The sequence below is a fragment of the Homo sapiens genome, chromosome 3, assembly GCF_000001405.40.
Source record: "Homo sapiens chromosome 3, GRCh38.p14 Primary Assembly".
In the NCBI taxonomy this organism is placed as follows: domain Eukaryota; kingdom Metazoa; phylum Chordata; class Mammalia; order Primates; family Hominidae; genus Homo; species Homo sapiens.
Genome location: NC_000003.12, coordinates 165340759 through 165354651, shown reverse-complemented (window position 1 = coordinate 165354651; position 13893 = coordinate 165340759). Strand labels below are relative to the sequence as shown.

General features: G+C 35.1%; 1 long non-coding RNA gene across 5 annotated transcripts in view; it reads right to left on the bottom strand.

The window, feature by feature from the left end:
* LINC01322 (long intergenic non-protein coding RNA 1322) overlaps window positions 1–13893 on the bottom strand; it is a 332490-nt gene that overhangs the window by 184786 nt on the left and 133811 nt on the right. For 2 of the 5 annotated variants that reach the window (NR_174098.1, NR_174099.1), the window contains exon 2: window positions 9127–9180. The exons of the other annotated variants lie outside the window; for them this stretch is intronic. This is a non-coding gene — a long non-coding RNA (long intergenic non-protein coding RNA 1322). The remainder of the gene's footprint in view (window positions 1–9126; window positions 9181–13893) is intronic. 5 annotated transcript variants of the gene reach the window in all.

The following is a 13893-nucleotide window of genomic DNA, read 5'->3' as shown; positions in this document are numbered from 1 at the left end:
TGTGTTGCACTGTAAATTTTGTCTCAGAGTTCTCTTCCTGTGAACCCGAATTGTGACACACCTCACTGAGGGGCCCTTAATTATTCTCATTTGAAAAACGGAAATAACAGTACCAGTTTCAGAGTTTGGGGTTTCATATTTTGTTTACAAATATAAGCAAGAACTGTTGTTCTGACGTTATTTTTTCACTAATGTTTTGCTATTGCACCTGCAGCCTGATTAGGTGTAAAAGCATGTGGATAAATAAACTACATACACAAAAATTAGTCTAATATCACATGAACAAATAGCTCAATGTTTACATTGACACAGCATAGATAACATTTTAGTATAATATCAAATGTGTTTGTTTTGCTTTAATAATTTCAAATGAATATTAACACTTCTGTTTATATATCTTGGCATTTATAATAAGAAATTTTGCCAAGATTATGCTATTATGAAATAAATTACTATTAAATACTTCTTCCAGAAATATTTCTGTTGCAATATATTCCATTAAGCACTTTATTATAGGACCACTATTTACTTTATTGTAATAGATACTTCAGTCATTTTAAAATTTTATTATATTAAAATTGTTTATCTAAAATGACATCTAAGAACATATTCTTTTTTAAAAACATTTTATGAGCTAATTTTAGATGTTCATGATTTATACAATATTTCTCTTTGTTAGAGGAGACAGGTAGGTCTTTGAGATCATTTAAGAGACTGTTATTTCAGGTTCTTTGAAGCTAACTACAATTTGAAGCTAACTACAATTTGAAGCTAACTACAATTACTATAATTTTTACTGCAATTCTTTTTATCAAATATTACAAGCAGTAGAAAAATTCAAAGGTAAATTAATCAGTGAGTTAATATAACTATAGACAAAAACTATCTTTTGTGTATGTAAAACCTTATTCCCAAAGCTATGAAGACATATAAAGAAAATGGATGACACTATGTTAATACATTGCAGAATACAAAATATAATCTGAAAGATGACATAGTTGAATAAACAAAAAGAAGACAGGATCAAATGAAAAACTAGAGTCACTATAATAGCAAATCTTCAAACAAATACGGGTGTTTATTTTCTATAAAACTGCATGCTAAGCACTACAGGGAATACAAAGAGGAGTCAATTTACAATTTAGTATGCAAAGAAGAAAAGTGCACAACAATCGGGATATAGCAATGATAAGAAATAAAACATATGTTAAGTATAAAAATTATTGATAAATGCTAGCCAAGATCAAGAGAGGGAGACATCATATGTATTTGGTGGAAGAATTAGAAAGGAATGGAGAAAATAGCTTTCATTAATTTTATCTACAATTTCAACATTGTTGATATCAATATTTAGAATGGAAGAGAGGCAGAATGGGGAAGGCATATCAAACAGAAAAACAGCCATTGTTGAATGAAGATCATATAAATGTCTTGCATTTAAAATTTAAGAATATACGCTAATTCAACAGATATGTACAAGTTGGCCTGATTTTACACATAGACATTTTAGAGCAAAAGAACATGGAATGTAAAAGAATGATTTTAAAACTAATATCCCCGTTGGCTCCAACATCATTTAGGAGACATATTGCTAAAGCAGATGAGGAGAGGGAGGAAAAAGGTAGATTTCTAAACCACAAAACAATAATTTATTAACATTCACCCTGTCTATTTCATCCTATTTAAGCCTATAATACTCCTTGTAAATTTGTGTGCTTGCAGCTTTGCAAGCTCAGTTTTCCCTCTGAGGCCTCAAATTCAAGTGAGATTATGATGATCCTTCTAGAGGTTTTATAAACCTTCTCACCTACTAAACACCAAAATTCCTCCAAAATGTGACCCCTTTGGTTGACAAAAAATGAATACCTGGATTATTTGTTTTCTTTTTTAGTATTCCTCATTATCATTTCAATTCTATTTTTCCTACTGCCAGTCATCTTCTACCTAATAACGCCTTTCCTTGACATCTGTTATGTTCTTCAAGATCTATATCGTAATCCAATCTGCACGGACATGACATAGAACTCCTGAATTAGGTACTTTCTCTGCATTATGATACACCTTTTACATTTTCTTCCTTTCAAGTTCACTAAACTTGCTCTTATTCCCAGTATCAACTCCTATTCCTCAATCCTGCCAGTTCACACAGATCTTGAACCTCTGATTAGAATGGACTCATCAAAAACTTGGTTTCCACCACGGCATCTATCGCAATTTCAGATTTCTCCAGAGTTTTATTTCCCTTTCCCTGTTTCCGGGCCAGGCTAGACCATGAATTCTTGGGGAATAAAGACTTAAATGCATAAAGCCAAATTCCCCTAAAAACAATCATGATACTAATCTTTTACTGGGAACTCACTATTGCAAAACATTATTTAATTCACATACTTTTTTTTCATTTTTTTGCACACTCCCAAGAAAGCAATATCAATATTTACATATTCTTTTGAAATCTCCAATTTATACATTGTTTAATAATTTCCAGTGTGAACTTCCTCAGATAAATTTCTCCCAAACTCACAGTAGATTACTTTTTTCACATATAGCTCTTGTTCTATCATTTAGTTTCAGAGAAAAAAGTGTCTCTTCTGAATTTCAATACTAACATTTATATTTTTAAAAGCTTGCCTTACTACTCTCTTCTTCCCTGCCAATGTCTGTTCCCCAAAACTGATGTTTACTCGAATGTTGAATATTCCACAGTAAATTCTATCAAGTCAAAAATCGAATTCCCCTTGCCCTCCTTTCTTCTCAGGTACTTAACATAGTCAACCAAACTATGGTATTTTTCACATGGTCTCACATCAGTTGTCTACTTGCACAGTATATATATCATGGTCCTGTTCCCCACCTCTTCTCAATCCTACTGCCACGAGGACCGAAGAGGCAGGATTCATGATGTATCTTGACTTCGATATTGCAAATACTTCTGAACTAGTTTAATTGATCCCATTGTTATTTATCTTCCATATATTGTAGCCAAATTAATCTTCTGGAAAGAATGCAATATTACTTTGTTTGCTTCCATGAAAGCACTCTTTTGCCAAGCAGTCTCAATTCATTAGTCTGACCCTTAAGACTCTCCTTAACTAGTTGACTGTATTTTTACAATTTTACACTATTCCTCAAAATAGGCTCTATACTCCTTCAAAACAGAAATGATCCATAAAATGTAATGGTGGACTTTTTTTTTTTTTGTCCTGTTTTAGCTCTCAATCATCTCTTGAACATACTTCATGTGTCAGAAGGAACTCCAGCTTTATGATTCCAGCTTCCATTGCTGTCAGGACACAGGTAATGTCAACCCAGTTCCCTAGTCAGATATACTGACTTAAAATATCAGAAAAGAAAGATAGGAAAAGAAAGACACAAAGACCAGGCGCAGTGGCTCACGCCTGTAATCCCAGCACTTTGGGAGGCCGAGGCAGGTGGATCATCTGAGGTCAGGAGTTCGAGAGTAGCCTGGCCAACATGGTGAAACCCCATCTCTACTAAAAGTACAAAAATTAGCCGGGCGTGGTGGTGGGTGCCTGTAATTCCAGGCACTCGGGAGGCTGAGGCAGGAGAATCGTTTGAACCCCGGAGGCGGAGGTTGCAGTGAGCCGAGATTGCGCCACTGCACTCCAGCCTGGGTGACAGAGTGATACAGCATTCAAAGGCAAAAATATGAACTTTTTTCCGCAAAATTCTCAATTTAGTGTTCTGTGCCAATTACTTTTTATTTTATAACCTCTTCTTCTTAATCTTCTCAATCTGGCTATTCACCCACAACCATATGAACGTATACTTTAAATATAACTTGGACTTTCTATGGAGTAATCAAATGTGCACTTTTAGGCTTTAGTTCCTGTAAATTTTGCTACAGAATTCATTACCTCTAACCAACTCTTTATTCTTAAATATGATCCTTTTTTGGTCTAAAATTTCATATTCTTAAACTTCCTTTCACCTGACTAGTCATTATCTGTCTGTCCCTTTGCATTCTCTCTGCACTAACCCTCCAAATATGGATATTTCTTGAAGCTCAAAGAAAAAATGATCCCCGTCTCTACTAAAAAATACAAAAAAAAAAAAAAAAGAAAGAAATTAGCCGGGTGTGGTGGCGGGTGCCTGTAGCCTGTAGTCCCAGCTACTCGGGAGGCTGAGGCAGGAGAATGGCACGAATCCGGAAGGTGGAGCTTGCAGTGAGCTGAGATCATGCCACTGCACTCCAGCTTGGGCAAAAGAGTGAGACTCTGTCTCAAAATGAAAAAAAAAAAAAAAGAAAAAAAGAAAAAATGATGCTCTTTCTCTATATTTCTTCTCTTGTTTTGATCCTCAGTAATGGCTGTATACTGATAATGCTAAAATATATTTATCTCTGCCTTCTTTTATACGTTTTTGTTACATATCTCCAACCTTTTCGAGAATATTGACACTGAATATCTCACCATAGTCCTAAATTTTTTACAGCTAGAACTTAAAAAAGCCTTCTATCTCAACTTTCTGTTTTCTATCAATAATACTATTATTCTTCCTATAGCACTACTTCAGAATACCTATCCTTTGGGATACTCTGTATAAGGCAAAGTCATAATCAAATTGGAACATAAACTTTATTAAATGGTTACATTGTTCAGTGTCCAAATAACTGAATAGCAAATTAATAGACTACTAAACATTCTCTTCTCAATCAGAATTATTAAGGATAGAGTGATAAGAAAATTTAGCATCAGACATGACATCTCATCAATTAGTGAGTGCAATAATTATATTCATGGCTAAATGAAAGAGAGAGAAAGGTCCATGTAAATTTACATTACCTCTGTTTAAAATTTATTTTAATATTATAAAACAGAATTACAATGAAGCTTCAAACAATAAAAAGTCCCTTTATGAAATTTTTGACATATCTAAGGTGTGTAAGTCCTTGTACTCTACCTTTCGTGAACTTGTTTTAAAATTGCTATCAGTAGGAGCATATAGATTAATTCAATAATAGCTTTGTTCATTTTATGATTATAATAAGTTTTATAAAATACTGTGATTTGGGGTTTGTGCTATTGTGTAGCACAAACTGTACAATATTGTATAAAAATATCTATTTTTGGTTTCTATTACTGACATTCAAAATTCAACATAAGAGGAGGCAGAGCAGATAAAAATGAAGAAGACCAAGAAAAGGTTCTCTGAATTGTTTGGGGGAGACATGAAGCCTGTAGGGAGATAAATGTTGGATGTTTGACATTTAACAAAGAAGGCAGAACTTGAACAACATTTATAGAAAAGTGGAGGCTCTAACCAAAGGATTAGTTTAGAAAGAGGAAGATATAAGCATATTTAGAAATAAAGGGGTGAAGATAAATTGCCATTGCTACCAATAGAGAAAATAATTATAGCACTGAACCTCAAAGGATGTGGCATAGAATACTTTTTGGAATATATATATATATATATATATATATATATATATATATATATATATATATATATATAATCTCCTCTTTGGAAAAGAGGAAAAGCCTCACAATCATAAAAAAGAAGTATAAGTTATATTCAGAATCACCTACTTGCTAAGGCAGGATAGAAACTTATTCATTTCAGAAAGAAATGGGTCAAAATTATCAGTACAAACATATTGTAGCATGTAAGTTTATTACATTTCTGACTCCAGTGACATAAATTGTAGGAATTCCAAATTTCTAAGAATGTATTAAAATATGTATGCGATATTGGAAATCTATGAAATTTGCCTCATTGATTACATAGAATGTTCAGGACAGTAAAAGCAGAACAAAATAAAAACTATCAATGAATAAGAAAGAAATTATAACACTCATTTTCTTGCATTCTAATTATGTAACTATCCACTAATCAATAAAAGCATAAACAGTTTTTTATCAGGTAAAATGGTGACCAATGTCCATTTCTCTTATTCTTATTAATGGGTCAGGGCAGAATCTTAAGGTTGTTGGAATCAGTCTCAAGTTTTAATACTGAAAATAGAAAGAATAGGCTGGGCATGGTGGCATACACCTGTAATCCCAGCTACTTGGGAGGCTGAGGGGGGAGAATTGCTGGAACCCAGGAGTTTGAGGTGCAGGGACCTGTGATTGTGCCACTGCACTCCAGCCTGGGTGACAGAGTACAACCTTGTCTCCAAATAAATAAATAAATAAAATAGGAAAAGAAACAAATAGATTACATATAATGTAGAATACTTTAAAAATGAGAACTTTATTATAAGAAAATTAGCAATTCAAAATGCAGTGCTATTCATACTAAGATTTTGTCTCTATGATGGAAGACTTCTGTGTAAAATGTAAAAAAAAAAAAAAAAAAAAATCAATGAATAGTTACTGTAGTGGCCATGGCCATGTAGTAGTGAAATAGTTCAATATTTAGGCCGGGCACGGTGGCTCATGCCTGTAATCTCAGCACTTTTGGAGGCCAAGGTGGGCAGATCACAAGTTCAGGAGATCGAGACCATCCTGGCTAACACCGTGAAACCCCATCTCTACTAAAAATACAACAAATTAGCTGGGCGTGGTTGCACGCGCCAGGTACACAGGAGGCTGAGGCAGGAGAATTGCTTGAACCCGGGAGGCAGAGGTTGCAGTAAGTCTAGATCATGCCACTGCACTCTAGGCTGGGCAACACAGTGAGACTCATCTCAAAAAATAAATAAATAAATGAAATAGTTCCACGTTTAATTGAAAATATACAGTTCATGCAAATTAACTAAACCAATGTCTTTCATTTTTATATCACAAAATCATCTCTCCTGCAAGCTGTATGATTGATTCACAGCTTCTGCCAAGCAGCAGTGAGTTCACAGCCTCAGGTCCTTTTCCTGAGCTCCCTTATCTCTTACATTCGATTGTGTATTCTTTGTTTTTTCTGAGGTTATATTTTCAAGTTAAGAGTTTTCCTTTCGAAAACACATGGCAAGATGCCAGAAAAGTAACTCAAGTGGTTTTTGGATGACTGGAGTAATTTTTAGTGTTTTGAAGTTTCTGAGTTTTCTATATGGGCTTCTCCGATTTTTGTAATAAAACAATTTCACTAACATGTGATAATATTTCTTAAAATCAGCAGGTAGCATCAATCATTGAGCCAAAGAATGAAATCCTGAACGTATTTAATGAAATTAGTACAAAATACACCAAATAAATAAATACAATATATACACCTATAATGGCATTTAAATATTCATCTTTTCACACTATTTTCTGCCCCAACATAGATTAACTCCCACATAAAATAATGAGCATGAAGACAATATGGTGATCATAAGATTGCTTCATATCTTCAATGACCAAAATCTTTCTTTTTCTTTGAATTCTGATTCAAAGATCACTCAAGAATAACTTGACAATTTTTCAGTGGTATAAGGTTTCAGGAGGATTCTATACTTTCACACTGTATTAAAGCATCAACTATGCAAGTGCTCTTAGCTGGGATGCTATTAGGATGACATGTTGACCTTATCATCCAGAATCATAGAGTTCCCAACTCTGGCATCCATTAACTGATTGCAGTCTCATTGTGGCTACAGAAGCAATTGATCTCATCTCCTTTTAACTCTGAAATCTTGAAAATATATCTAACCTGTTCAGCTATGACTCTGTCACCAGTGCCCTTTCTGACCTTAGCTAGAAAGAATTTAACATGTTTGGTTCAACTTTATGAAAATTACTGTGAAATAACCCTTGCTGTTGGTCACTTATTTCTTTATTAAATAGCAGTTTACAGAGGAATGACTGTGTGCCAGAAACTGCTAGGTGCTAGAGGTACAGACAACACTAAGACAAGCGTAAGTACAGCGTGTTCTGAAAGCTTATAGCTACGGCTCTTGCCCTAGCTTGAGAGGTCAGGGCAGAATTCATCACTAAGGCAGTGCCATGTGAGATGGGATGCAAATAATGAGAGAGAATCACTAGGCATAGGGATAGAAGGAAGACAGGAATCTAGCGCCCCCTCCCAAAAAAATGGCACTATATGAAATAACCCTAAGGCAGGAAGTAAAAGGACCCATTCCAAAAATATGAAGCAGGTGAGAAGTCAAATCAGCCCCCAGAGATAACATGCTATTGGAAATTAGAAAGCACTTTAGGGATATAAGCATAGTAGAGACATATTTATGCCAATTATTTTTAAAAGATAACTCTGGCTAAAATGTGATAATTTCATTAGGCAAGACAAGAGAAGGAGAAAGACCAAAGATGAGGCCACTGTGGTATTCCTGAAGAGACCTCTGCCTTTGGGAGATGGATATAAATAAACTACTATTAAATAGGTCTTCCAGACTGGATGAGCTAGACCTGATGCCCTAAAGACAGGGGGCTAAGGGTAAGAGAGTTATCAAGAATGGCTGGATTTCTCACCTAGATTTTTCCTTAGTTTATGTGCTAGCTGTTAAGCCTGGGTATAAGCTGCATTAAGTGCTTATTTTGGTAATTTTCCCCATACTCCAATCTTTTAGAAGTCAGATGACAGATATCCTCAGGCTGACTGCTTGAATGCCAACTTAGACCTTCAGTCATTGCCTGTTTGTGGATTTTCCATTGCCTGCCTATTTTAACTCCTTATTTTCAATTTTCTGACCTTGAATGACTGCCTCAATTGCTGCATTTATTCTTTTTTCTACCCTCTGTATTTTAAATTCTGTTTGTTTATTTTATACTGCTCCATTAAAAAAATAAGGATACTTTTAAAAATACCTACAATAAAATAAAAAATAAGAATTCAAGTGAAATCCAAAAACTGAGTGAAAGCTGGGCCAGATTTGTGCAGGTCAATAGGGTGTGAAGCTATTTTTATAAAAAGAGTTGCAAGTTTTAAATATCACTTTGTGGTGGACAAAGCAAAAAAATAAAATATGATTTATTGCCCAGTTCACATTATCTTCAAAAGGAAATATGTCAATTATCAGAGGAAAGCTCTAGATTTCTTGGCACTTAGGAGTGACACATTTCTCTCAAAAAAGAGAGCCTAAATGATGCAGTGTTACAGCTCAATATCCCTGCACTAAATATAATGCTGACTTTCATATACTACTTCTTTCTATTAGTCCTTTTCCACATTGTTATAAAGAACTACCTGTGACTGGGTAATTTATAAAGAAAAGAAGTTGACTTTACTCACAGTTCCATAGGCTGCACAGGAAGCATGGCTAGGAGGCCTCAGGAACCTCATGATCTGATGGAAGATGAAGGGGAAGCAAGGCATATATTACAGGGTGGCAGGAGAGAGAGAGAGAGAGAGAGAGAGAGAGAGAGAGGGAGACAGTCAGGGCGAAACCACCAAACACCTTTAAACCATCAGTTCTCATGAGAACTCACTCTTTATCATGAGGACAGCATGAAGGAAACCACCCCCACGATCCAATCACCTTCCACCAGGTCCTTCTACATGTGGGGATCACAATTCGAGATGACATTTGGGTGAAGACACAAAGCCAAACCATATCATTTTTAAAGTATTTAACATATTAGTATGAAGAGGTAGTGCACAGTTATTCTAAAAATAATTCTCAATGCTATCCAAATATATTATTTGATCCAGGAATAAGTTCTAGATTATAGAAAACATATTTGCATTGAAATGGAGAAAACAGAATAAAAGGGAGGTACATTTCACTTGGGCAGAATCTAATAAAGTGGGACAGATTTCTTACTATACACAATCTTCACCTCAAGACTCTAACACGCTCACCTAAGGGAGTATTACCTCTGGTATGCACTACCCAATTCTTGAAGTATTGGGTAATTGGGTATACTTCAGGTATGCTAGAGAGAAAAAAAAATTGAGAAACACCGATATTGGGATATGGGTATAGGCTATGTCTCAAACACCCCTTTTTCCAAGACACACACACACACACACACACACACACACACACACGCATGCAGATACACACACAAAATCTCTCACTTAGATGGAATTTTGATAGAAATTGGATGAAAGCTCGTTCAGGGTCCTATATGTGAAATAGCATTAGTGTTGTGATTAAGAGCACTGTCCCTAGACAGAGGTTGTCTAGACGTAATCTTGGGTGAATTACCAAATCTCCCTATAAACCAGTTTTCTCATCATGGAAAGAAAAAAGAAATAAATCTTATATCTCTAATAAGATTGTTGTGAGAATTAAATAAATTAATTTGTATAAAATACTTAGAAAATTGGTTGGCATGTAATATGTACTATTCATTGTTTATTGTTATTGTTGTTGGGTTTTTTTTTTTTTTTTTGAGACGGAGTCTTACTTCATCGCCCAGGCTGGGATGCAGTGGTACAATCTCGGTTCACTGCAACCTCCGCCTCCCGGGTTCAAGTGATTCTTCTGTCTCAGTCTCCTGAGTAGCTGGGACTATAGGCATATGCCACCACGCCTGGCTAATTTTTACATTTTTAGTAGACATGGGGTGTCAGCATATTGGCCAGGCTGGTCTTGAACTCCTGACCTCGTGATCCACCTGCCTCAGCCTCCCAAAGTGCTGGGATTACAGGCGTGAGCCACCGTGCTGGCCTCTTTATTTGTTTTTAAAACTACAAGAAACCTGGTGGGCAGGGTGGCTTACAACTATAATCCCAGTGCTTTGGGAGTCTGAGGCAGGAGGATCACTTGAGGCCAGTGGTTTGACACAAGCCTGGGCAATATAGTGAAACTCTGTCTCTACAAAAATGAAAATAAAAATAAATTAGCCAGGCATTGGTGGTATGCTCCTGTAGTCCTAGCTCCTTGGAAGGCTGAGGTGGGAAGATCCCTGGAACCCAGCAGTTTGAGCTGTGATGATACCACTGCACTCTATCTTGGGTGTCTCTAAAAATAAATAAATAAATAACATTTTTTAAAATTACAAGAAACCCTTTGTAAGAATTTGAAGGGCTATTATTCTTTATTTTTCAGTATTTTTTTAAAAAGATTCAGCATACATTTATTACATATCTACTGTGTCAGGTCCCATAGTAGGGTACATTAAGTCAACTGTGAGTATGATAGATTTTCAGCTGCCAACCCCTAAGCTCCCTAAATATGTTGATGGAAAAAACCTATTTAACCTTTAAAGATTTCTCTCTCTCTTTTGCTTTCTTTTTCTTTATCTTCATTTTTAAAACTTTTCTCATAACTCTTCAAATAGATACTATACACAACACATAGTTTAGAAAACTTGCCTAGCCATATTGCTTGAATACATACAACTTTGCAGATTAACTGAAGAGATAAAAACGCTCAGTGTTGTGAGTGAAAATTTAGGAGCCACATCTAAGAGCCCACCTTTATGTTGAGGTTGGCTTTTAAGTACTGAGTAGTGTCTGCAGATATGGACTTAATCCTAGAGCACATAGCTAAATCTGTTCATTCATGGAGGAAGTTTTGCTCTAGTCTATAGTTTTCCCCCATATTACTCTACCTCATCCTGAAGGAGAATAACATACAACCACTGATAACTTCTGTGGATCCAAAAACTATTTATATGTGTCACAGGGCAAATCCCCAAATCGTGATTCAGCCAGGCAGCCCATGTAGGTTCTTAGCTTCATGCAGGAAGGAATTCAAGAGCAAACAGAGAGTATAAAATGAAAGCAAGTTTGTTAAGGAAGTAAAGGAATAAAAGGGTGGCTACTCCATGAGCACAGCAGCCTCAAGGGCTGCTGGTTGGCTATTGTTTTGGTTATTTCTTGATCATATGCTAAACAAGGGGTGGATTATTTATGAGTTTTTTTGGGAAAGGGGTGGAGAGTTCACGGAACCAAGGGCTCCTCTCCTTTTCAGACCAATATACGGTAAACTTCCTGGAGTTGCCACGGCATTTGTAAACTGCTATGGCTGCTGGCGAAAGTTCTTTTAGTATGCTAATGTATTCTAATTAGTGTATAATGCACAGTGAAGACAACCAGAAGTTGCTTCCATTGCCATTTTGGTGTTGACTGGCTTTTTTTTTTTTTCTTTGAGACGGAGTCTCGATCTGTCTCCCAGGATGGAGTGCAGTGGCACGATCTCAGCTCACTGCAAGCTCTGCCTCCCGGGTTGACGCCATTCTCCTGCCTCAGCCTCCCGAGTAGCTGGGACTACAGGCGCCTGCCACCATGCCCAGCTAATGTTTTGTATTTTTAGTAGAGACGGGGTTTCACCGTGTTAGCCAGGATGGTCTCGATCGCCTAACCTCGTGATTTGCCTGCCTCAGCCTCCCAAAGTCCTGGTATTACAGGTGTGAGCCACCGCGCCCTGCCAATCAGCAGGGTTTTTGTGACCTGTGACTTGTGAAACAAGTCTGCCGAGTTCCTATCTCATGTGTATATTCCTGGTAACATTTGAACGTGACCAAAACTAATACTCCATTTCAATCAACACAAGTCACATGTACTTAAGTATTCAGAGATTGAAATCAAGGTATGTTATTCAAATGGTCTTATATTAGCATGCATATTCATTGAGCTCTTAAATTAAAATTATATACCATGAATATATGCATATCCTTTATGCATATCCTGAATGCATATTAGGAAGCTAAGATTTAAATATTGTATTTGGATTTTTGGGGGCAGAAAAGTAAATTGTGAACTAAATTTTTTTCTAAAATTATTTGTGATACTGTTTTCTCCGCTAAAGAAATGAAAATCCAAAAACACTCTGAGAATACATGTCATCATTATTTTTCTTAATGGAAAACATTCATTTTTATGTCAGAATTAAACTGTTAGTACCTCATAGGAAAACATTTTACGTATTGAGTATATGAAAAAATTTAGGATATTTAGGTAAACCCTTTAATGGATTTGAAGAAAATATTTAGTTTATCAAAGGAAAATATTCAAGAAGTTAAAATTAAATTTAAAAAATAAAAAACATAAAACTTTCTAAGATACTTATTCTAGTAGACAGCTTAGTAACAAATACTTTACAAAGTCATCTTTTAATTTTGTTCTAAAGTATTTATTAAAATATATTCTTAACATATTAAAGAAACACTGTTTGGAATACAGTCAGTACTTCATATAGTTCAATATTTAAAAGTGCTTAAAAATGTATATGTAGATATCCATTTACTTATATATTTAATACTAATGTAGATGGCAACATGGTAGCTATATGTTTAAACTAATAGGTGTCTGATTATAATAACAAAAATAGGATTTTCATATAGTTTCAGAAGTCAGATATTTTTGAAGAAAGGCAAATTTCATATCAGAGACATGCATATGATTCCCCAACTCAGAAGCAGTCTACCACAGAGGTAAGAGTTGTTTCTGAACATGCACAGACTGCTGTGATTTGCAACTCCATGATCTCAGTCTTGGGACAAGTTGCATAACTTGCTCCTGCATAATATACCTAGAAGGTTCAATAATCATTTTGGGGAGACTGACTAAACAATGAGCAAACCTAAGAATCAGTTTTTTCATTTTCTCAAGGTACTTGATAAAGCAGGTAAACATAAAGGTAAATATTATGGTTGTTTATAATTGTTATTTACATTATTATTGTTTATTAGATATTAAGATTATGGCTTCAAATTATTATTTGACATTATAAATATTTGATGCTATCATAAATATTAATTAGAAGTCATAAACTTAATAATATCTAACAAACAATAATAATATAAATAACAGTTATAAACAATCACAACTCTTGCCAGGCCTTCCAAATGGTTGAGCAATGAAAATAGCTTAACCAAAATTTCTCCCTTTAACAGTCATATAAAAGCTACAGTAGTGCATTTTTAAAATAAAATAAAATATCAGAGACAGAATTAAAACACTTTGAAAAATAAGTTTAAAATAACTTGTTCAAATTCTCCTAGAATATTTAACACTGGTATTCTGTTAAAACCTGCTTACTATAAAACTAATGTCAATGAGATCTACATTCATTCATAATATTTATAAACAAATCAGTATTATTTT